This window comes from Homo sapiens, chromosome 6, assembly GCF_000001405.40.
Source record: "Homo sapiens chromosome 6, GRCh38.p14 Primary Assembly".
Lineage (NCBI taxonomy): Eukaryota > Metazoa > Chordata > Mammalia > Primates > Hominidae > Homo > Homo sapiens.
In genome coordinates, this window is record NC_000006.12 from 53,285,492 (window position 1) to 53,309,298 (window position 23,807).

A 23,807-nucleotide genomic window follows, 5' to 3' on the forward strand; every position below is an offset into this window, starting at 1 on the left:
GTGCTGCTATAGAAGCTGCAGCCAGTTATCTGGAAGATTTAACTAAGATCACTGACGAACATGGCTACACTAAACTGTAGCACATACCACTGCACCTGGGAGCATTTTTATTTTTAATTTATCTTTTTTTTCTTATAAATAGGGTTTTACTCTGTCACCCAGGCTGGAGTGCAGTGGTGTGGTCATAGCTCACCGGAACCTTGAGCTCCTGGGCACAAGCCATCCTCCCACCTCGGCCTCCCAAGTAGCTAGGACAACAAGCTCGAGCCATGCCAGGCTAGTTATAAAATTTTTTGTAGAGAGAGGATCTTGCTATGTTGCCCAGGCTGGTCTCAAACTCCTGGCCTCAAGCAATTCTCCCACCTCGGCCTCTCAAAGTGCTAGGATTACAGATGTACACCATTGTGCCTGGCCAGCATTTTTAAATTTAGGTATGTCTACTGTTTTTTTTTAAGATTTAATGCGATTGCACACTTAATAGACCATAATGTAAACATAACTTTTATATGCACTGCGAAACCAAAAATGGTATGACTTACTTTATTGCAATACTCATTTTATTGCAGTGATCTGCAACTAATGCTGCAATATCTGAGGTATAAAATAACTATTAACATGCTAAATGAAAATGAATTAAATTTCCCCATTAAAGACAAGAGACTGTCGGATTCAGTCATTAAACCCCTATGCATTTATCTGGTCAAAAAACTTACCATATTTGCATAAGGAGATATGTCTAAGAAGATTCTTGGCACACTGTTAATTGAACAACTTGCATAAACCCACATAGCTGGGCACAGTGGCTCACACCTGTAATCCTAGCACTTTGGGAGGCTGATGTGGGAGGATCACTTTGAGTCCAGGAGTTTGAGATCAGTCCAGGCAACACCGTGAGACAATGTTTCTACCAAAAATAAAAAAATTAGCCAGGCATGGTGGCACATGCCTGTAGTCCCAGCTACTCAGGAGGCTGAGGTGGGAGGATCGCTTAAGGCCAGGAGTTCTAGGCTGCAGTGGGTGAGGTATGATTGTGCCACTGAACTCCAGCCGGGGTAACAGAGCCGGACTCTGTCTCAAAAAACAACAACAAAAAACAATCTAACAACATACATATCCATCCAAAGAAACACTTATAAAATGGTGTAATAAATTCCAACACTGAAATAATACAAAGCAGATAAAATGAATTTCTAATTAACTATAATTAACATAATTATAATTAATGAATTACATCTATACGACTCAAGATGAATTGGTCAAAAATATACTGACTGAAAAAAATCTATTTGAAAAAGAGTTTAATTAGTATACCATTCACGTATGGTTTTTAAAAACTATCTTAGAACGTACTATGTGTTGTCATGTATACATATATATGTAGTAAAAATACATCCAGAGAAAAACTGTACAAATTTCCGAAGAAGTCTGGAAAGGGACTGTACTTTAGATGCATTTTTGTAATGTTTTCTTATTTAAACAAACAAACAAAAATCAAGCATTTGTTAGGTGCACAGATATCATCTATATAATTTTATTTTAAATATTTTCAAATAGTTCCAAAATTACAATTTAAAATAAAAATTGAAAAGGGGAAGAAAGATAAGTTTGGATTTATGCCAAGCCAGATGCATCCATCCAGCTTTTTCAAAATTACAAATTTTTTTCTTTCAAAATTACATTTTAAATGTTCTGAATATTTTAAAGCGCATTCTCTCACACTATTCACAACATATAGTTCTAACTGCAAGGGAGGAAACATACACAGATACTCAAAAAATAATCTTGTCTGTAACCCATGATTTATCTTTGACTACTAAATAACTTGAAAATGTGGTTCCGACATTTGCTTATTTTTGTATTCTAATACTCAGGATCCATTTGGTGGAGTAATCAGGTATAGTAACAGTGGGATGAAGAAGGTGGGGAAAACATTGTTTCATTCTAGCCTAAGCCAGTGAGTGTCAGTGGGGCAAGGATGGGATGCTAAGGGGCACATCATGAGAGTACTTTGAAAGGAATGCATCATAGTCCGTGGGAACAATGGGATAGCCAAAGAGGCTGGGAGAAAAAAAAATTCACTCTCTAGAGTTGAGTCCTCTTCCTTAGTACGCTCATGGCTTCACAGAGGAATTGGATCCTTCCACACAGTCCTCAAAAGTGAGAGGGAGACTGCCAGGCAGAAGTGGGAGTTTTAAGGGGTAGAGCCCAGAAGAATGAAAGAGCCTGGTGTTGCTGGGGTTTGAGTAGAGCTCAGCATAACAGATCGGCTAAGAAAGGCCGGAGTGCCTCCTTCTGAGGAAAGGAGCCAGCCATCCTTTCAACACAGTGTTCCTGGGGAATTCAAAGCCATGTGCACTGCACAACACTGACCCTGTTTTCTGGCAGCTGCTGCTGAGTCGAAGGATCAGTTCGTGAGGCACAGGCAGATCGACGGGGTTGCTCCCTTTTGGACTGTAACAAACACAATTAGATCCTCTCTGCTTAGGGTCTAAGAGGTCTGAGGCACAGCAGGAGAAGAGTAGACACATTGAATGGCTTCACATGAGGACAGAGCATCTGCCTAAGAGGGAAACCACCTGTAACACTCTAACAAAGGAGTTAAAAGTGGCTTTGATAGCTCACTGGATGGGTCAGGGGAAACCTGATCCAACCAGGTAGATAAGGCAGAGTGAGGGAAAGCCACCGTTTGGCACCATGTATGTAGAGGTTCTCAATTTTGGGACTGGAGACAAGAGAAAAGACACATGGATAGTGCAAAAAATCAGGCTTCTCTTCAGAGGACAAATGCCCTGAATCTCGGGTGGCTAAAAGGCGCACAAGATTTTTAAGTTTGCTGTAAGGGCATCGTTTTACAAAGCTAAGTAACTAATGCAAACTAAGTTGTTTCTCTTCTATAACCTGGAATTTCATTTCCGAGCTTTCACCATGGACTGTGATATTAGACAACCCCTAATAAGCAAAAGCAAAAAGGATTGCTATAAAGTCCAATACTTTCAAATTAAAACATACCACTAATTCAAATATGCTCCAAATCAGGGATCTATGACCTTTTTCCTGGAAATAAACACTAAAGTTAATGAGATATAGAAGTAATACCTCTTCTCTCCTTTTAATTTTGTTTCTACCAAGTACACAAACTATGAGCAAGTCTATATTCCTTCTACATTTTAAACTCGGTTTCACAGTTTTAAAACTGGGATTTAGTTATTTTCCTTCTAGTAAATTTAAAGTTTCAGTGACTTCCTTTCATTTCCTTCTGATCATCTCCCTTCTTTCAAGACTTCTTCCTATTGGCCAGATGTAGTGGCTCATGTCTGTAATCTCAGCACTTTGGGAGGCAGAGGTGGGTGGATTGCTTGAGCCTAAGAGTTCAAGACTAGCCTGGACAACATGATGAAACCTTGTCTTTACGAAAAATACAAAACTTAGCTAGACGTGGTGGCATGCTCCTGTAGTCCCAGCCACTTGGGAGGTTGAGGCGGGAGATCAGTTGAGCCCAGGAGGCGAGAAGCAGTGAGCACCACTGCACTCCAGCCTGGGCAACAGAGTGAGACTCTGTCTCAAACAAACAAAAAAACCCCGCTTCTTCCTGTCTCCTTTAAGTGACAGTTAATTTTATTTTTATTAATCTAGAACTTGCTAAAGCAGCTGTGAATTTATGCCACAGAATTAAATAAACAAAAATACCAAAGACTACTTATTTAAAAAATTCTTTACAGCCCCAAATATGCAGATAAGCAGGAAGGTAAATAAAAACTAAAATAATGACCATTACAGGTGTGTGACCACAGAAGAATGGCTCTAACTCCTGGGACATTTCTCTAAAATGAGGGGCCCCATGGGGCTTCATGATCTCCTCAGTTCGTTCCATTGTAAAACTCCATGACTGCTCTTCTGTGTCTTAGCATTCAATGGAGTAGAAATGCTAAGTATAAAAAGAAAAATGGCCGGGTGCGGTGGCTCACGCCTGTAATCCCTGCACTTTGGGAGGCCGAGGCGGGTGGATCACCTGAGGTCAGGAGTTCAAGACCAGCCTGGCCAACATGGTGAAACCCTGTCTCTACTAAAAATACAAAAAATTAGACAGGAGTGGTGGCACATGCCTGTAGTTCCAGCTACTAGGGAGGCTGAGGCAAGAGAATCGCTTGAACCTGGGAAGCGGAGGTTGCAGTGAGCCGAGATGGCGCCACTGCACTCCAGCCTGGGCGACAAGAGTGAAACTGTCTCAAAACAAACAAACAGAAAAACGTGTAGCTAAAATGATATTTGAAGTTTGAAAAAGGACACATGACAATGGAATTATTGATGGGTTTTACAATATGTACAGGAGAAAACTCGGACAAAAACCAAATGTGAATACCATCAACTTGGAGCACTAGGGCTTATTTTCAACTTGGGTATATCTGACCTGGATAGCTTTTTGTAAACTTGATTTAATTTAAGGAAACATTGCCTCTTTGTCTATTACCTCTCTATGTACTCTAAACTGTGAGTTAAAAATGTAGTTTCCCTATTCTGTATATTTCTTAAATTTCTGTATTCAGTGCTTAGTCACTGCTCAAAGTCTTCTCTTCTCACCAAGCTATCAGAGGAAAATCTGTACCTTCTATTACAATGTGTTCAGAACCCCCCACATCCACTCAGATGCACACAGCTGTACTTTATACAGTGTTTTTCTTCTCTTTACCAGGGAATCATCTGTTTAAGAGAGGATAAATAATGAAATTATAGCTATATTTCTAGGGCTTAAGAAACATTTAAGGCAAATGCTTAAGTTCTCTAAAAATCACATGAAATATTTTTCTCTATTAATATTGCCATGTATAATAATAAACTCTGTAAGAGTTCTCTTAAAGACATGGCTGTATTATCTATCAATTATGGAAAAGTAAGCAGTTCACTCAGAAACCTGACAGCTTGCTGTGGTTTTGTCCCTTGAACACAGAAATGTGCATAGTGCTGGGGCCAGGAGTCACTCCTGTGCACTTCCCCTGGCTCCAGTCCTGAACTCTCCATCTTGGAGTCTAATTAAACTGACTTCATTCTAGAATAGGACAGAAAAAAAAGCAAAAAAAGGAGTTGTAAGCATTTCTTGGCATGTCAAGCATAAAAGTAATGCTAGGAACATCTACCATTCTATTCAGAATATCTGTACCTTGGCTTATGAAACATACATGGGAGAACAAGACACAGATATCCCACAGCTGCAACACCTCTGATAATCAAATATGCCTGCACACGCCCACACTCCTGCACACCACCACACGTAGACAGGGAGACACCATCATGGCCTGAGGCTGATGGAGAATTCATTTTGACCCCTGAACACTAATTTTAAGATTCATGTTTCTATCTCTCCTCTTCCTCCCACCTCTACCTTCTTCTTTACTACTCCTTGAAGAACTAAAACCAAAATGAAACCCTGAAAACCTATACAGGAGTGCCTGTATAGGTTTTATCCAGGGCTTAATTCTCCAGAAGAGTTAGAAATAGGTTGGTGCTGTAAGAATGAAAAGTGGGTAGGCTTTCCTGGAAAAATGTACACAAACTGCTTACCACCAGAGGGAAGCTTTCCTCCCCCTTTTAGCTTTAAAGGCTATAGTGTTACCCCTTCAAAATAGGGAGAAGAGAAGGGTTGATTCTGATTTTTCTTTCATTTTTAAGCTATAACATTTGCCTTTGAGATCATCAAATGTGATTTTCAACATTGCAGTGATATAAAATAACTGGGCCTGAACTCAGACAGACAATTCAAAACCTAAATGCAGATCTCACCAGTCACACTCCTCTTAGCTTTTAAAAAACAACTGAGATTTGACAAGTTATCCAATCAGAGAGGGTGATGTGCCACAAAACATACCAAACACAAGTGCCACCCACTTCCTTCCTCCCCTACCTTCAAACAAGAAGCAGGCACTTATTAGATGCTTAATAATAAAATGCTTTCACATGTGTTTTTCACATTTTGTTCATTTTCCACTCTGTATTTTGCTTGCATGAGAGTATTTCTGAAAATACTTTAATTTTGAATATCATACGAAACATAATAGAAGAATCAATAACAAAGGCTTCTATTTTAGATATTCTAGAAGGCATACTTGTACAAACAACTCTGACATTTTGAAAAATCGATTTTAAAACACACTCATAACGCATTAAGATACTTGCTTGCCCAGTTGTCTCTACACCCCAAGCGGCCACCTTTCCTCATTTAGGAATACAATTTAGGACAGCAATATGAGTGCATTTATGTGAAAGGAAGACTGTGTTAACCTTTGACTTACCTCACAGAACATATACAGAGACAGCAGTGTGAGTCCAAGGTTATACACCACTAAAATCCCCCGGCAAGAGAATGGCTGTTTATTCCTCATGTATTTTGGTCCCAGCCATACAATTAGTAAATATATGACAGAGCAGATAAATGTGGGTATATAATTGTCCAGAAGAAACCATCCTTTTACTCTAGTATCTGAAAAATTAAAAAAAATTAATGATATATAAAAACATTCACAACTTTTCAAACGTTGAAAAAATTTCTCTAACCATGATGATATAAAAGTCACCTGGTATTCATGTTCTTAATTCCAATAAAGCAATCAGGAGAGGAGGCATGGATTTTCAATACATATCAAACAAGGTGAAGCTCCTTGTTACATGCTCTGAATAACAATGTATTATTCATGATTTTTGCTCAGTAAAATAATAATACAAATATTCTTTCCAAAGAACTTAAGAAGAAAACAAGGAGAAGGCTACACTTCCCATTAATTGGATTTATTAACCAGGTATACCAGATTACACATAGGGTGATAAAACCCAAGAAATGGCAGTCATTGAACTCTGAAGTCCTCCATCTCAGCTGTGTGTCAGTCGGCAAGTGTGGCCAGCACATGCAGACTCAGAAAACGTGCTGCTTAGCCACGTTAGTGAAACTGGCACTAATTAGAAAGGCAGCCTTTGCTATGAGTGTAATGGTCAACAGCAGAGAGGACAATGATTTAAAAACAAAACAAGGGCTGGGTGTGGTGGCTCATGCCTGTAATCCCAGCACTTTGGGATGCCAAGGCGGGTGGATCACCTGAAGTCAGGAGTTCAAGACCAGCCTGGCCAACATGGCAAAACACTATCTCTACTAAAAATATAAAAATTGGCCAGGCATGGTGCTGCACACCTGTAATCCCAGCTACTTGGGAGGCTGAGGTGGGAGAATCGCTTGAAATTGGGAGGAAGAGGCTGCAGTGAGCTGAGATCGTACCACTGCACCCCAGCGTGGGCAACAGAGTGAGACTCCGTCTCAAAAATGAAAATAAAAACAAAACAAAACATGAAGGTGAAGCAGCAATGATCAGATAAATGCCTATTTAAAGGGCAGTATTTAACAAACTGAGGAGTAGTAGCATGAGAGCGAAGACCTAGGCGGATCCAGAGGAGATACTGGTATAGGAAGGGCCTCTCCTGCCCCTATTCCTTTTCTTAGGCAGGGAGGAGGGAGAGGGAAACAGGTCAGCCGCCAGCAGCAAACTGACAACCTCTTCTTGGATGGCGGGAAACTCCTTGGCAGCCAGAGCCCCTAAGTGTTATGTGTCCCCTGAAAGATTCAGCTTCATACTCTGGCTGACCCCAGGAAGCTACCTCTGAAAAGCATGCTCCCCTTTGAACCCTGCTATGATGTTCCCCGAAAACCTGTGGCTCCTCAATCTTAACTACCCGCCAAGGCTCACAACTCCAGAACATGAGGCACATGCAGCATTCACCTACTGCGTCTTCAGAGAAGCAGCAGTTGGGAGGACAGCCTTTGCCATTTCTTTAATTTTTTTATTATTCATTTATTTATTTATTCTGAGACGGAGTCTCACTCTGTCGCCCAGGCTGAAGTGCAGTGGCGTGATCTCAGCTCACTGCAACCTCTGCCTCTAGGGTCCAAGCGATTCTCCTGCCTTAGCCTCCAGAGTAGCTGGGACTATAGACACACACCACCACACCCCGCTAATTTTTGTAATTTTAGTAGAGACCAGGTTTCACCATATTGGTCAGGCTGGTCTGGAACTCCTGACCTCAGGGGACCCACCTGCCTTGGCCTCCCAAAGTACTGGGATTACAGGAGTGAACCACCACACCCGGCTCTGCCCTTTCTTTGACCCCTCCCAGACTGGACCATCTTGCTACTCTCTCCAGTCGTTTTCACCTTGATTTCACAGAACAAGAACAGGCTCAATAAAGCATATGTCCACGTGGGGAACTGTCAGTCAGTCTTCCTTTCTTGCACTGTACACACTAAACTTTCCCAGCATTTCTCTCATGGCTGGCTTGCTTTGGCTTCAGAGGGACATGCCCTCCACACCCTCCCCACTAGTTATGCTATGGTCACGGAGGGTGTTACTGTCAGTCCGGCAGAACTGGTTGTGCTTAGAAGTCATTCAGGGAAATGGCTGGCCCCAGGGACTTTAAGGGGATGCTTAACACCTTTTGTTCTCAGCTTTGGGCCTTGGCTGTCAATTTTAAGAAAACCAGTTCCCACTTAGCAACTAACATCAGACTGTTATTTTGTATGAACATATATATCACAAACAATAAATACACACAAATCTCCCTATTTTAACTTAAACCTCTGATTTACACTTTGCTTTATTCATTTTCCCACAAATACTCATCTTTCCAAATTGGCACATATTCATCCTCCCACACCGCACAGTGCTTCCCGGGCACCTGACCCGAACTCCAGCCCCAGGTAGAGAATCCTTAGGATCTAGTCAATCTGTGGTGGTCCTAACCCCCTCTGGTGGCTGGTTCAGGCAGGGGCATGTGAAGCAATTGTGGCCAGTGAGTTTTGAGGGATGACAGCTGGCAAAGAGCTCTGGGAAACAACTTCTTTATGCTTAAAACCACACAAATGAAACATTTTTTCTTCTTCCTCTGAATGTGCTGCTTGGAGCTGCTGTAGCCATCCTACAACTGTGTGAAGTGGGGGACCCATTCTGAGGACAGAGCTGCTGATACCTGGAAGTGGCAAAGTAGAAAATGACAAGAACAAGGATCCTTGGTTACATCATACAGTCCCTGAAATAACTACGGAATTGCTCCACCTGGTAATGCAAGCTAATAATTATTATTATTATTTTAGCCATTTAGAGTTGGATTTTTTGTCCCTTACAGCTAAAGTAAGGCACTATCCCAACCCAAGCACATACAGATGGATCTAACTTATTCTTTTTTGTTCTTTTCAATGGGCCATACACTAATTTACAGAACCTCTCCCCTACTGACAGGCATCCAGATGATTCCTTGAAAAACAATGCTGTAATGAGCATCCTGATATGTATCATTGCATAACTAATCAAGGCTAGCCACAGGATAAAGTATTAGGAGTAGAATGGCTAGGCAAAAGGGCATGTGCATTTTAATTCCAACAGAAGGCAAAACAGCCTTTCAGAGAGGTTGTACTCTTTCTCCACGCCTTCACTATTATCACTATTATCATAGGTGACATGAAACCTATTATTTCATCTCTGCCATGTTAATAGACTAAGTCCTTTTGTTATTTCTTTTGTGTTTTAAAAATCATGAGAAACTGAGATTCTTTTTGTCTGTTTAAAAGCCATTTCTAGTTTTTCTGTGAGCCTAAGAAGTTCTTTATACAAAAGACTTTAAAAGACTTTTACAGATGACATCAAAAGAAGGCAATATGAAGCTGATTTACTTTCTAAAAGATACAGCAAGTAAGGTTCAGGTGCATATTTACCAGTGAGTTAACATGATACAAAATGAGAAGACCTTAAAAAGCCCTTAAAATTGTAAAAGGGGAAAGGTTTTAAACTCCTATTGCAACACTGCATTTTGGAAACTAGTTTTTCTTAAAGACTGCCAAGAATTGAGAAAAAAATGCCACTGATAATGGTGAAATCTATAGTATTCTCAGGCTACAAGCTTTACAGCATATTTTTAAACTCCAGTTAAAGTCAACGGAGGACCACCCACAGCAGGTGTCTCTGTCAGAGACTTCTCCAAATTCCTTGTTATCCAGGATAAAGTTTTAGACTTATCATAGAAAATGCTAACATTTTCTACTATCTCCTCATGCAATATTTACAAGGGACTATAGGCAGGGAGTGATGCTGCAGAAGGTAAGCAAAACCAAAAACCACCTTACCTCGAGGGCCTAGCAATGCCTTGAAATAGGTACTAAGTGATGCATCAAAATGTTCCATTTGAAAACCTATTAAGAAAAAAAAAGATACTGATTAATCTCTACTCAAAATGTTTTTTATACAGTATTTTTTCATAAAAGAATAAATTCTTTTCAAAGAATATGCTACAGACAAGGTTAAGTTCAGTTCCTTAGGTTAAAAGAATTTAATTCACAGAAGTGACTTCTGTGCTAGATCTAACTTGAAGATCAAAAGGAAAGACACAATTCTGTGAGTTCACTTTATAAATGAAGTGCCAGTTTTCTGAACTTCTTTTCTTAGTTCCATAAAAACTCTTTCCGTGAAGCTGAAATCTCAGTGGGGAAAAAAGTGGAACTAACTGGAATGAGAGGTGGCAGACAGGAAGAGATCCTGTCTGGGCAACAACTGAGGACTTGAGGTAAGACAAGGAAGAGCCATATCAGGGAACAGAATGCCACAGTGACAAGACAGTTTTTTCCGCTTGTTACTTTTATCAATTATTATTTTACAGTACTTCATATCTACAGTAAAAAAAAATTCAAGTATTAAAAATTAAAAAAAAGGGGCAAAAATCTCATTACTTCCCTCAACCTCAATCCCCAAGCCACGCATCACAAGGAACCTAATGGTAACATTTCTTCAATATACTTCCAGAGATTTCTCCTCTTTTGAGCACAAAGAGGTCATGCTAAATGGATGTTTTCACAATTGTGGGTGAAATCTACCATTAGTAGATGATCATGTCAACTTAGCATTAAAAATAATAATTGATCATAGTAGAGAATCAGAATGCTTTGCTCTCAGTGAGAATGAATATAGTTTTATAAAACTTTAGTTTTATTATATCATATTTATAAGTATAATGTACTTAGCTGTGATGTAAAATATATTCTTACTGTGGGGATCACAGTTAAAAAAAACTAAAAAAACACTATTATATATAGAAGTGTGTATATATTACTTGCTTATTTTCACTTAATAAAACATCTTGAGATACCAGTTAAAGATTTACCTCCATCTTCTAAGATTCTATAGCTCCCTACCTTCCCCAATTTAAGATTTACATTTAGAGGGTAGCTAATCAACTTTTCATATGCATACTGACTAGATTTTCCAACTTTCCTGGCCATTCTTCTTACAGGAATAATCATCAATATTATAACGTCCAAGGGCAAAGGCAGAACTGATTTTATTAACTAAGCTGTTAATCATTTAGCAATACTTCTCTTCCTTGGCTTGCCACACTGAAGCGTTATGTATTCACTGGCTAATTTTAAGATAAACTACTTTATCCACGAAATCATCTAATGGTTGTAGTAGTTACAATTAAGTCAATCCAGATGAGATGGGACGTAGAGATAGGAGGAGCCATCAATGACACTTTCAAAGTAGTTAACAGGGTTCTGTCCTGACAGCTTTCCTGCCCAAGGGTGATTGGGGAGGCTGCTGACACCAATTCATGGCTGGAAACGAAGGCACCAGCTCCCTGAAGGCACCAGCTCCCCGAAGGCACCAGCTCCCCATACCCATCTGCCAATAACCAGGTCAGCCACCTTTGCCCCTCAATAGTTACAAAACCTTAGCACAAGGTCACTTCTGCAATCCAACAATTAAGATTTTAACATACAGTAGTCCCCTCTTAATCCACAGTTTTGCTTTCTGAGATTTCAATTACCTGAAATCAACCATGGTCTGAAAATACGAGGTGGGAAATTCCAGAAATAAACAATTCATAAGTTGTAGATTGCACACAGTTCTGAGTAGCATGATAAAATCTCCCGCAGTCCCACTCCATCCTGCCTGGGATGGGAATCATCTCTTTGTCCAGCGTATCCTCACCGTAGACACTTCTTCACCCTTGAGTCACTTTGTAACCTTCTGGGTTATCAGATCAACTGCCTCAGGATCGAAGTGCTCATGTTCAGATAACTTTTACTTTACTTAATTGTTCGATTTAATTATTAGTTATTGTTGTTAATCTTACTTTGCCTAATTTATAAAGTACACTTTATTATAGGTATGTATGCATAGGAAAAAAAACCACTATATATAATATAGTGTTTGGTACTATCTGCAGATTTAGGCTTCCATTCTAGGGGCCTTAGAATGTACTCCCTGACGATGAGGGGGTACTAATATACTATATTCCTAAGAAAGGCAATTTTGGTCCTAAGCCACTTTCCTGCCCTAGATTGAACCACTTCAGGAGAGACAAGAAATTCTAGAAAATCCTGGTGCTGAAGAGAATAGGTTTAGCCTTATGTTTCGTAAAGAGAATTCCTCTTTAAAACACAGTTAAATAAGAAATGTTTTATCTATTAAAGGCTATTAAAAGTTCTGCCCAAGGTGGGTTCAGGAAGAGCACTGGCTAAAAGACAATTTGGCTGTGTCTATTTTTTCAACATCTACTGAAAATCATCTAGAAAATCCAAGTTTTGAAAGACAACCATCATGATTTTGTGACACTGAAATCACACTAACACAATTTAATTTCATCTATGATGTATGGTGGGCCATGTATATGGAGGTCACAGGGTTCCCTGCTCCCCACTAGGCTGCATCCCAAACAGCCAAATGAAAGGAAATAAGGAGGAACAAGGTCATAAAGGCTATGACTAATGGATTGAATAAGTGATGGACAAGCTGCTCACTGGGGACAGACACCTTCCTCCAAGGCATTTTAAAACCTAGATTCTATTACCTAATGGGTAATATTAACTTACTTACTTATGGGTCACATTAAATGTACAATAATCAGGTATTAAGCATGAACGGACTTTTGCTAGATTATAAGAAACTAGGGTTTGAAACCCCCCATTTTTTTTCACTTATTAGCAATGTGACCTTGGACAAGTTATTTAATCTTTCTGAAAAACGGGGAAAAGACCAAAGTAACTGCCTTTAAGAAGATTAAATAAGGTAATATAAATAAGGCCCTTAGAGCAGTGTCTGGCATGTAGGAAGCCCCCAATAGATGTTTCTGAATGTATGTCTGCCACAGGATTGGCTCCATGATGAATACTGTCAACCACCCACGGCTGTCTCTGCTTCTCGGCAGGGGCACTGCTGGCATTACAGTGGAAACAATCAATGTCCTGTGCATTGTGGATCATTAATTGTCCTTGGTCCCTGTCCACTAAATGCCATCAGTGAGCTCCAATCATTCTGACAACCCACAATGTCCACTTGTAAGCCCTAACACACCCCTAGAGAGACAGCAAGAGAAGGTGGGGGCAAGGCGGGGGGGGGGAGTTGATAATATATCAGGAGAGGAACTTGTCAGAAACAGATATTACCCAAACATGAAAGACAAAACTAAAAGGAATGTACTAATTAAATACACAAATATCTAGCACCTACTGTATATTAATACAAAGGATTGCCAAAATAGGGATAAACATAAAGGAGCATACCTGGTGACCTAGAAAAAATGAGACATTCATAATGGGGAAAAGGATCCAGATATAGTAAAGCAAAAACAAAATCCAGTTTGCAAATGAGCAGACAGTAGAATGATGATATGAATATAAGCTGAATATATGTTCAAAACCATGCTGTAACAAAATTCAAACAAAAGTATTCTGAGATCAAACAGGAGGAATATGTCTAACAAAAATAAGGGAATCAATCATTTCACTTTTTAATTAGATCTTTCAGAGGGCTGTAGTCAGGGTCAGTTTCTATGTAATGAGGAAATAAAGAAGCTGGAAACAAGAGTGAAGAAATGTTTCAAAGTGAAAATACAGATTGGTGGGGCAGGAATGGAGAGGGTAACAGTAGTGGCCCCGGAAAAATATGAAGCCCAGTAATTGCGATAAATGACCTATTACTATAAGGACAAATGCCTAGGACATAGTCCAATTTGAGAATCTAGGCTAACATCACGGCAACAGAAAAGCAGCTTGATTAAACATAAGGTAAAATTTCAGTCCAAGAGTACTGAACCAGCAGCAGGCTACCAAAAGAGACTGTGGAATTTAGTATTTGGAGATATTGAAGAATCCTGTTACAAGCCATCTGTCCCAAATAATCTGAGTCTAAACCATCTTGAAGAGGCCCTGTGGAAGCTGGCAGGCACAGGAGCACTCTTTCATCTTTATAAAATGAAATGTGTTCTCTACAAAAGCACACGCAAGAAACGATTTTTGTCAGAAACGGTACATCTGTTCTTAGACTGCATTTCTTCTCGGCTTGAGAATTTTTCTCCTAGGTTTGCAGAACTTTTCACAATCAAACTTAGGAATATATTGAAAGAGCCAACAAAACATTCTCTAAAAGAACAGATACATGTGGGGAAATGATAATAATTTTCAAATTATTGTTCCTGCTTATTGTTTCTGAAATGACTACAGTGAAAAGGGAGAAGGGGCAGGTAGAGGTAGGCCCTGGACAACAGGCCCTAATCAGGAGAGTCCTGAGCTGTGGATCCCAAGCTTGATTTTGGGCTGGACTCTGGCATGTTCAGTATTTCCCCCAAACTCTCCCCTACCACACCCACAATTGGATATATACTGTAATCTTCTCAGGCAAGGCTGTTTGTTTCTGCACAGGTTACTAAGAGACACCTTCACCAAAAGCTTCATCATTTACTCAATACAACCTCATGTTTGTCAAGGCAGCCCCATAACTAGTGTCCCTCAATACCATGTACTCATTTTTCATTCATACCACACACCGAGTGCCTACCACATGCTAGGCACGGAGACCTGAAGGCCCTGGGATTGCAGGCTGGTGAGAAAGACCATAAACATATATTAATTACAGACAGAAACACACGTACAATACGATATGCAAAATAACTGTTAGCAAAAAAAATAAAGCAGAATAAAGGGGCTGGAATCATGGAGTGGGAATTTATTTTGGAAAACATAGAGAAGGCAGCCTGAGAAGGTGGCAACAGAGCAGAGCCTGAATGGTGACAGCAAGCCACACATCTACCAAGGGAAAGGGTGGGTGTTCCATTTAGAGGCACAAATGAGCACAATGGCCCTGGGGTCAGGGCTAGGCTGGCATGCACAAGGACCAGAAGCCATGACAGGAGTGGGCAGCACAATGGGAGGCCTTCTGTCCTCCACTCCGTCTGGTGCCCAGGCCTTGCTCAGCAGTAGACAGAGGTCAGTCATGAGAGCTTTCTTGAGACCTTTCAGAGAGCTTGTGGCCAACGGGCTAGGAACAGAAGAGGGTGCCAATCCTTATCTGCTCACACTGCTACCATCTCCTAACCCTCCTTCCTGCAGCCCTCCTGCCAGCAACGTGCCCTTTTCATTCCCATCTTCCTTGCTGAGCCTCATCTGCTATGCCACATGAACAGTACAAAGGTCTCAGCAAATGAATTCTTCATCACCAGGCTAGGCTGGCCTGCCCTGTTAAGTAAATTGGGCACTTGCTGAGTGGTCTGTGGGCTGAGCTATACTCTTTTGTACTAAAGGAATGGGAGGCACAGGGCTATGCAAAAGTCTTGACACTTTGCCTAGTAATCTGGATTTATGGGAACGGCATGACCTACTTTGCACAAGATGCCCAATCACACTGCCAGGTCTGTGGTTGGCCTCACTGGTGCGGTTTCCTATCTTCTGAGCTACGGTGGGCCAATGACATAACTTCTCAATAACCCGAATCACACTACAGGCAGCCTGGGTGAGCTGGGTCAAGTGGGAACACAGCTGCTCTGTACAATTGTACTAGCAGGGACCAAGCCCAGGCACTAGGCTCCATGGAAAAGGAGCTTTAGTCCTACATGCAGCAAAAGAATAAGCTATTCTTTGATCTGGCTGGTTCCCCACACACTGACAGGAAAATGGACAGGGCTGGGAGTGGCCAGCACTTCCCAGGAAAAAGACCACGCTGACACCAAGCCAAAGCATCGATTCCCATCCTCTTTAACCAGGAGTCTCTGACCTGCACTCAACCTAGGGGGCTTCCCAGAATTACAGGTTACAACAGGGAGTAGTAACAGGGCCCAGTGAAAAAAAGTCCCAATGAAAACAGTCTTCCAAAGCTATTCACTAGTTCAAGAGCCACACACAGAAAATAATGACAGTAAAAATGGATTACGGGCAGGTAAATTAGAACCAATTTTAAAGAATTCCTTTTTAACGCACATTTTCCAAAAGACACTCCTAATTTAAAAAGCCGCTTCCCATTATAAGATTCTGGAGTGTTTTTGGTAACCATGCAACTATATTATAATTGTGTCTCATTTTAAGTATCTCACTACAAAAAACTGACTGGAGCTGACCATTCTCTTTATAAACTACCCTATATTTAAAGATACAGCTGAAAGGAGCAAGAGAGTGTGAGGGAGTTCAGCACACCTTCGTCTGACTCACCCCCACCACCATGGATCAGTTCTGCGCTCCTGGCTAGTTCCCTCCCCATGTACTATACTAAGTGTTGTAGAATTTTAGGATCCTTGGGCCTGAATTCGAGAGAAAGACTGGAACTACCATAGCCTGGAATACAAAAACCTGGAAATACTAACACGAGCAGAACAAAGAACAAAACCCAAAGCCCTAAAGAGAGTCCTGCTCATGTGGAAAATCCATCTGTCCACTGTTCAACTCCCTCCAGGGGCAAGTATATGCCCAGGTGAATCACGTGTGGGAGGTTAAGTCAACATCAGTGCTCACTTTGAACTAATAATCAAACTAGTTGCTAGAAGCATGTTTGAAAAAAGACACTACAATAAGCTTTACAGCAAATCAGTCCCCCTCCACCTCCTTTCCACTTGGCTCCCAAGGACAACAGAACATGAGGGGATGGGGGTAGGTGGCAACAACGGAAGGAGGTGGTTGGGGTTAATGAGGAGAAGGCACAGTCACAATTCTCAAGATGAAGTACGTCTCAAGGAGAGTGCAAATATTAAGCATCTTGGCCATTTCTACCTGGGGTAGGAGAGAGTGACAAAGCTGCCCAGCAAAGGAAAAGTACTGGGATCTTAAGGCAAATCTGTTTTAAAAGGTATCAAGATTTTTAAAAATATACATTATAGTAAAGAGTTGGTATAAGAATTATATTAAAGAAAAGTTTATTTCCTAAACCCACAACCAGGCTGTTTGCTGACTCTAAAACAGTAAAGATATTTTTAGGGCCAAGTCTTGGTTTGTCTGGCTTCTAAGGCAGCAGTCAGCTTGCTTTGAAAGCTCCCTTTCCTGTGGTATCAGTCAAGTCACATTCCTTTTGATTTAAAAACGTTTAGCTATTGTCTAGCTTAACTTCATCATATCCTGCTTTACTTTTTTTTTAACGGTTATTGTTCACCTAAAAATGAGTCAGCTGAGTTTACAAACCCATGTGCTGCAAGGAATCAGACTGAGATTTCCTTGCATTTTCTCTTCTCTCATTCCCATCCATCACTTTTATCAGTCAACTCGTTAACGTTAGGCAGGCATGGGAACATTCTTCAAGTTGGCTGCCAGTTACACAGAATGAAAAATTAAATGGTGCTTTAATTTGGTAGTCACAACCCTGATTCTAGAATTTAAAAAGATTTTTCTAGGTTGGGAAAATCAGTTCCCAAATAAAACCACACCTTGCTGAGGAATGTTAAAATTCAAAATGTCGTGAAGACCATAAAGGAAAGAAGATCCAAGTACTAACAAGCTTTAGAAATGAAAGTAACTTGACGACAGAATTCATGTTAAAGTGTTGGCATTTAAATAAATGATAACTCTGGATTAAATCTTGGCTCAAAAATATCTACCGCACCAACAGTGGTACATCTGATTGTGTACTGTCATCCTAACACTCTGAATCTATGCTTATTCTCTTTCTTCCCCCTGCAGAATTCCTATACTTTCTAACCTCCATTCTAAGGAAGTAACAAACTCTTGTAATTCTCTGATAAAGTCATTTTTCCTGCCATATATCATACACGAAGGCAAAAAACACAGCTCTATTTGGGGTTTTAGATGAGTAACTGCAAAACTGGGGCACTGATAGATTCTACAAAGCACTGCCACAGGTTAGCTCCACGGCTGAAGAAGGCAGAACAACCTCATTCCGGTATAATGGATAATTGGAGGGGAAATTTTTAAATGTTGCAACAATCAAATTGTTGTACAAAAATACGTTTAGGGTCAACACAGAAGCCTCCACTTCCTGCTCCTTGGCTGCTACTAGTTAATTAAAAAGCACTTTTTAACCATCGCTGGAGAAGGACATCCTTCTAACACCTTCTAACATCCTTCTAACAAGTGGAGAGTCACACCAGTGGCTGTTATCTGTGGTCCTTCCTCCCTGTCCTCTTGCCTTCATTTCCAACCCTTTCTCCAAGGCCCAGATTAGGTGTTACAAAGCCTACTTCCACTCCACTGCCCCTCTTGTTGCTGTCTAGACAACTCATTTAGTATACAGCAACTTCAACTTTTACATGAGCTAGATACTTCTGTGTTCAGGTATTATGGGAACAAACTCTGCAACTCCTTAGAGTCCAAACTCTTTAACGGCAAGTACTCCAATCTGTCCTATGAGTATAATAATTATCTATTGGTGATACTATAAATGAGGAGATACACCTGTTATTACAAAATAAAAAGAAAAGAAAATGGCACACCTGACTCCACAATGGCAGCATCCTAAAACACGGACTAAATCCTAGTTACAGATGGCATTTCCTCGGGGAAAACTTTCTCAGTGCTAGTTATCTGGAACTCTAACAGAGGTGCTCTCTTCTCTTCTACTACATGATCAGTAAAGACACTTTGTAAAGTGTGAGCCCATAAAAAACAAAAACAGAAACAAAAAATGCATGTACACACACAAACACACACACCTCTTTTATTTTATTTTATTTTATTTTATTTTATTGATCATTCTTGGGTGTTTCTCGCAGAGGGGGATTTGGCAGGGTCATAGGACAACAGCGGAGGGAAGGTCAGCAGGCAAACAAGTGAACAAAGGTCTCTGGTTTTCCTAGGCAGAGTGTTTGTGTCCCTGGGTACTTGAGACTGGGGAGTGGTGATGACTCTCAACGAGCATGCTGCCTTCAAGCATCTGTTTAACAAAGCACATCTTGCACCGCCCTTAATCCATTTAACCCTGAGTGGACACAGCACATGTTTCAGAGAGCACAGGGTTGGGGGTAAGGTCACAGATCAACAGGATCCCAACGCAGAAGAATTTTTCTTAGTACAGAACAAAATGAAAAATCTCCCATGTCTACTTCTTTCTACACAGCACAGCAACCAACCGATTTCTCAATCTTTTCCCCACCTTTCCCCCTTTTCTATTCCACAAAACCACCATTGTCATCATGGCCCGTTCTCAATGAGCTGTTGGGTACACCTCCCAGACGGGGTGGTGGCCGGGCAGAGGGGCTCCTCACTTCCCAGTAGGGGCGGCCAGGCAGAGGCGCCCCTCACCTCCCGGACGGGGCGGCTGGCCGGGCGGGGGGCTGACCCCCCCCACCTCCCTCCCGGACGGGGCGGCTCGCTGGGCAGGGGGCTGACCCCCCCACCTCCCTCCCAGACGGGGCGGCTCGCCGGGCAGGGGGCTGACCCCCCCACCTCCCTCCCGGACGGGGCGGCTGGCTGGGCGCGGGGCTGACCCCCCACCTCCCTCCCGGACGGGGCGGCTGGCTGGGCAGAGGGGCTCCTCACTTCCCAGTAGGGGCGGCCGGGCAGAGGCGCCCCTCACCTCCCGGACAGGGCGGCTGGCCGGGCAGGGGGCTGACCCCCCCACCTCCCTCCCGGACGGGGCGGCTGGCCTGGCGGGGGCTGACCCCCCCCCACCTCCCTCCCGGGCGGGGTGGCTGCCGGGCGGAGACGCTCCTCACTTCCCAGACGGGGTGGCAGCCGGGCGGAGGGGCTCCTCACTTCTCAGACGGGGCAGTTGCCAGGCGGAGGGTCTCCTCACTTCTCAGACGGGGCGGCCGGGCAGAGACGCTCCTCACCTCCCAGACGGGGTCGCGGCTGGGCCGAGGCGCTCCCCACATCTCAGACGATGGGCGGCCGGGCAGAGACGCTCCTCACTTCCTAGATGGGATGGCGGCCGGGAAGAGGCGCTCCTCACTTCCCAGGTAGGATGGCGGCCGGGCAGAGACGCTCCTCACTTTCCAGACTGGGCAGCCAGGCAGAGGGTCTCCTCACATCCCAGATGATGGGCGGCCAGGCAGAGACGCTCCTCACTTCCCAGACGGGGTGGCGGCCGGGCAGAGGCTGCAATCTCCGCACTTTGTGGGGCCAAGGCAGGCGGCTGGGAGGTGGAGGTTGTAGCGAGCCGAGATCACGCCACTGCACTCCAGCCTGGGCACCATTGAGCACTGAGTTAACGAGACTCCGTCTGCAATCCCGGCACCTCGGGATGCCGAGGCTGGCGGATCACTCGCGGTTAGGAGCTGGAGACCAGCCCGGCCAACACAGCGAAACCCCGTCTCCACCAAAAAAATAAGAAAACCAGTCAGGCGTGGCGGCGCGCGCCTGCAATTGCAGGCACTCGGCAGGCGGAGGCAGGAGAATCAGGCAGGGAGGTTGCAGTGAGCCGAGATGGCAGCAGCACAGTCCAGCTTTGGCTCGGCATGAGAGGGAGACCGTGGAAAGGGGAGGAGAAAGGGGAGAGGGGAGAGGGGAGAGGGGAGAGGGAGAGGGGAGAGGGGAGAGGGAGAGGGGAGAGGGGAGAGGGGAGAGGGGAGAGGGGAGAGGGGAGAGGGGAGAGGGAGAGGGGAGAGGGGAGAGGGGAGAGGGGAGAGGGAGAGGGGAGAGAGAGAGGGGAGAGGGAGAGGGGAGAGAGAGAGGGGAGAGGGGCAAACACACACACCTCTTAAACATTCAAGGAAATTTCTTCCCCACTGGGAGACAAAGATGTATTCTAGTCTTGAAAGGCAACACACAAATACACTTGATCTTAAAAACTCAGATATAGAACATTTTTTCAGCAGTTGGTAGCGGGAGGGTAACATGATTTTAGAACTTTATTCTAGGGGAATTCTTATTCACAGCTAAAGAAGAAATGTACAGTCAAGTTCAAAGTTCTTCCCCCAGTTCTCAGCAGAGTCAAGACAAGGACCATTTACAACAATCCACACAACAAACGAGCATTCAGAAAAGGGTTCACCACTGTAGAAAATTACTCTTGTAGAGTTTTATCATCTTAAAGCTGCCAACTTAATTTTCTTTTGAAACTAGAAGAAGAAGTGGTGATAACTTTTAATTGAGTGAAGCACACTGTTATTTGGAAAAAGACAACGATAATTCACACACAGAATGCTCCTTGCTGGTGGGTGAAGGCCAGATTGCTGCAGTTGGACTTAGAACTCCACTTTCACATAGAACTTTGCTGACAGTAACTAATTAATGCCCACAAGGCTGCAGTGAAGCAAGGTAAAAAAAAATCCATCAGGTGCAGGAGTTAGTCATCCTCCTGACTGGTTTTATTTCTGTGTGTCCAATGATTCTCAGAATGACTGCTTTTCAGGCTACCAGCCATTTGAAAGGCAGTTGACTCACTGAGTTAAAAACTATTTAATGAGTGTCTACTTTGTGTCAAGCAGTATTGCTTGTGAGGAACAGGAAAGTGACAGAGACAGACATGACCTCTGCCACAGTACAAATTAGTAAGCAGTGTGCAAAGACATCTGTGGCTCAACCACTTTTGGGTGGTAGTGGTTAGGAACATACACTTTGGAGCCAGAGAGCCTGGGTTCAAATCCCTGCTTCACCACTTACTAGCTGTGTAACCTTGGGCAAGTTACTTAACATTCTGTGCCTTAGTTTATTAGACTGTAAAATGAGGGTAATTACATTAACTTCCTCATGTGATTAAATGAGTTAAGATATGTGAAATGCTTAGAATAGTGTGTGGCACAGCAAGTACCGTAAAAATGTTTCTATTATTATCATCATTACAGAGACCTTTGACAATGATCAGTTTCATATTCAATGTTTATGGAAGAGTTTTGCTAAGGCATAAACTGGAGTTCCCTGCAAGGTCCATGGCAGTGAAACATGCTCACATCCATACCTCACAGCTCTGTTATTTTCTATTTGGCATGGACTCACAAATGATACTTGTGAATCTGGGGATTTATAAAAGACTCTAGATAAATTCCTCTGAAATGTCAAGGAGATGCTGGTCACTGACTTCTCTGTGAGTAGAAGAGCAGGCCAGTGTCTATCCCAACCTTAGTACAGAGCAGAAATAAATCTGCATCTGATAAGCCTTTTTTTTTGTACTCCTGGCAACTAGCATATGATAGATGGCCAATAAACTTATTCATTTACCATAACTGAAAAGGGGGCTGAGTTGCCAAAGTCACAGAGGTTGGGTGGAGCCAGAATTTGAACCACATCTCCAACTCTATTGCCTATCATTCTTAAAATACCCCATGCAGTCTCTCAAGAGGACATCTTCATGTATTTACATAAAAGATGGTGACATGTGTTAGTATTGCCTGAATTCATATAGTTTTACGAGAAAAAGATACAGAACTATGTAGTTTTAAAATAACATTATCAAGTTAAAAAAAAAAGTTGTTTGGAAGAAGATGTTTGGTAACAGAGTTCTTTAAGATCTCTGTAATTAAGACCTAGATGGGAAGTAAAGGGGCAGCAATCCTCCCTGACCTCATTTTCATACTCTTCATCATCACTTCTACTGTATCTCAATCAGTGATAAAATTACAGGCTTATTTTTTAAGTGCTGTGATTATCAGTTATACTGTAATTATCTGTTTATCTGTCCACATCCTATTAGGCTCTAAGCTCTTCAACGGCAGAACCTCTGGTGTTCCCATTTTATCGCTAGAGTGTCTGGATCTGTGCCTGACCAATTATTGATTGCTCATTGAAACTAAGAGTGAATGAATGAATAATGAGTGGATCAATGAATGAATGACTTTCTAGAGTTTCATATCAATGGGCTCTCAAATCTGGTTGCATCTTAAAATCACCTAACAGCTTTAAAATCAGGTTTTTGGGATCCAATCCTAGAAATTCTAATTCAATAGATGCTAGGAAATATCTTTTTGAAAAGATCGTTAGGTAATTCTGGGAAACAGCCTGCTTTGGGAACCACTGCTATATATATCAATTAAGTTTTGGACTCTTACTAAAATCCCCTGCCACCCTTTAATTTTTATCACCCAGACGGTATCCATACACTGTATTACAGAGACAGAGCCTAGACTAGGATGATGGTCTCAAGGACAAGTTATTTTTTATTCCAACAAATTCTGCAGCAATTCCCTGTTTCCTCTAATTCCACCAGCTGGGGGGAGGGGATGCGCAGGTGGGGCGGGGGGCGGGGAGGCAATCATATTTTTTCAAACATCTCTCAAGCTGAAATAAAACCTCGTATCAAGATAGAGATCAGTTCTCATATTTTTCAAACACTGTGTGACATGGTACACATCACACATAACAAGCATACATTAATCCATCCTGCACCTGATGGATTTTTTACCGGTAAGCTCTTTTTTGGGGGATGCTGTTGCAGAAATATTACTATCAGTAGAGGAGATCCATAACACCATTACTACCAGGAGTCAACAGTGGCCAAGTCTATAAAGCTCTGTGAGAACAAGGAACGTATCTGTCTTGCTCCTTGTAATCCCTAGTAGCTGTTCTTGGGACACAGAAAGGAATTTAGTAACTCCCTGTTTCATCATATTGAACTGGGGCAGTATGGAACACTGCTGACAGG

General features: G+C 42.3%; 1 protein-coding gene across 5 annotated transcripts in view, besides 2 other annotated features; it reads right to left on the reverse strand.

Moving 5' to 3' along the window:
• Positions 1 to 23,807, reverse strand: part of ELOVL5 (ELOVL fatty acid elongase 5) — an 81,547-nt gene that overhangs the window by 18,088 nt on the left and 39,652 nt on the right. For 3 of the 5 annotated variants that reach the window (NM_001242830.2, NM_021814.5, NM_001301856.2), the window contains exons 2-3: positions 10,151 to 10,216; positions 6,285 to 6,472 (exon numbers count right to left, since the gene is read on the reverse strand). In NM_001242830.2, the coding sequence (NP_001229759.1) occupies positions 6,285 to 6,472; positions 10,151 to 10,208 (246 nt within the window). In that variant the 5' untranslated portion in view covers positions 10,209 to 10,216. Of the gene's footprint in view, positions 1 to 2,370; positions 2,452 to 6,284; positions 6,473 to 8,596; positions 9,001 to 10,150; positions 10,217 to 23,807 lie in introns of those variants that run through there. The other 2 variants (NM_001242828.2, NM_001242831.2) reach the window with 2 other exon arrangements.
• Positions 15,842 to 15,891: an enhancer, noted in NCBI's record as "active region_24694". NCBI's record gives its function as "activates an Ori minimal core promoter by ATAC-STARR-seq in GM12878 lymphoblastoid cells {active_cell/tissue: GM12878}" and the evidence as "EXISTENCE:reporter gene assay evidence [ECO:0000049][PMID:35858748]".
• Positions 18,880 to 19,403: an enhancer, noted in NCBI's record as "NANOG-H3K27ac hESC enhancer chr6:53169169-53169692 (GRCh37/hg19 assembly coordinates)". NCBI's record gives its function as "activates a minimal SCP1, AML or CMV promoter by ChIP-STARR-seq in naive H9 embryonic stem cells {active_cell/tissue: H9 hESC(naive)}" and the evidence as "EXISTENCE:reporter gene assay evidence [ECO:0000049][PMID:30033119]".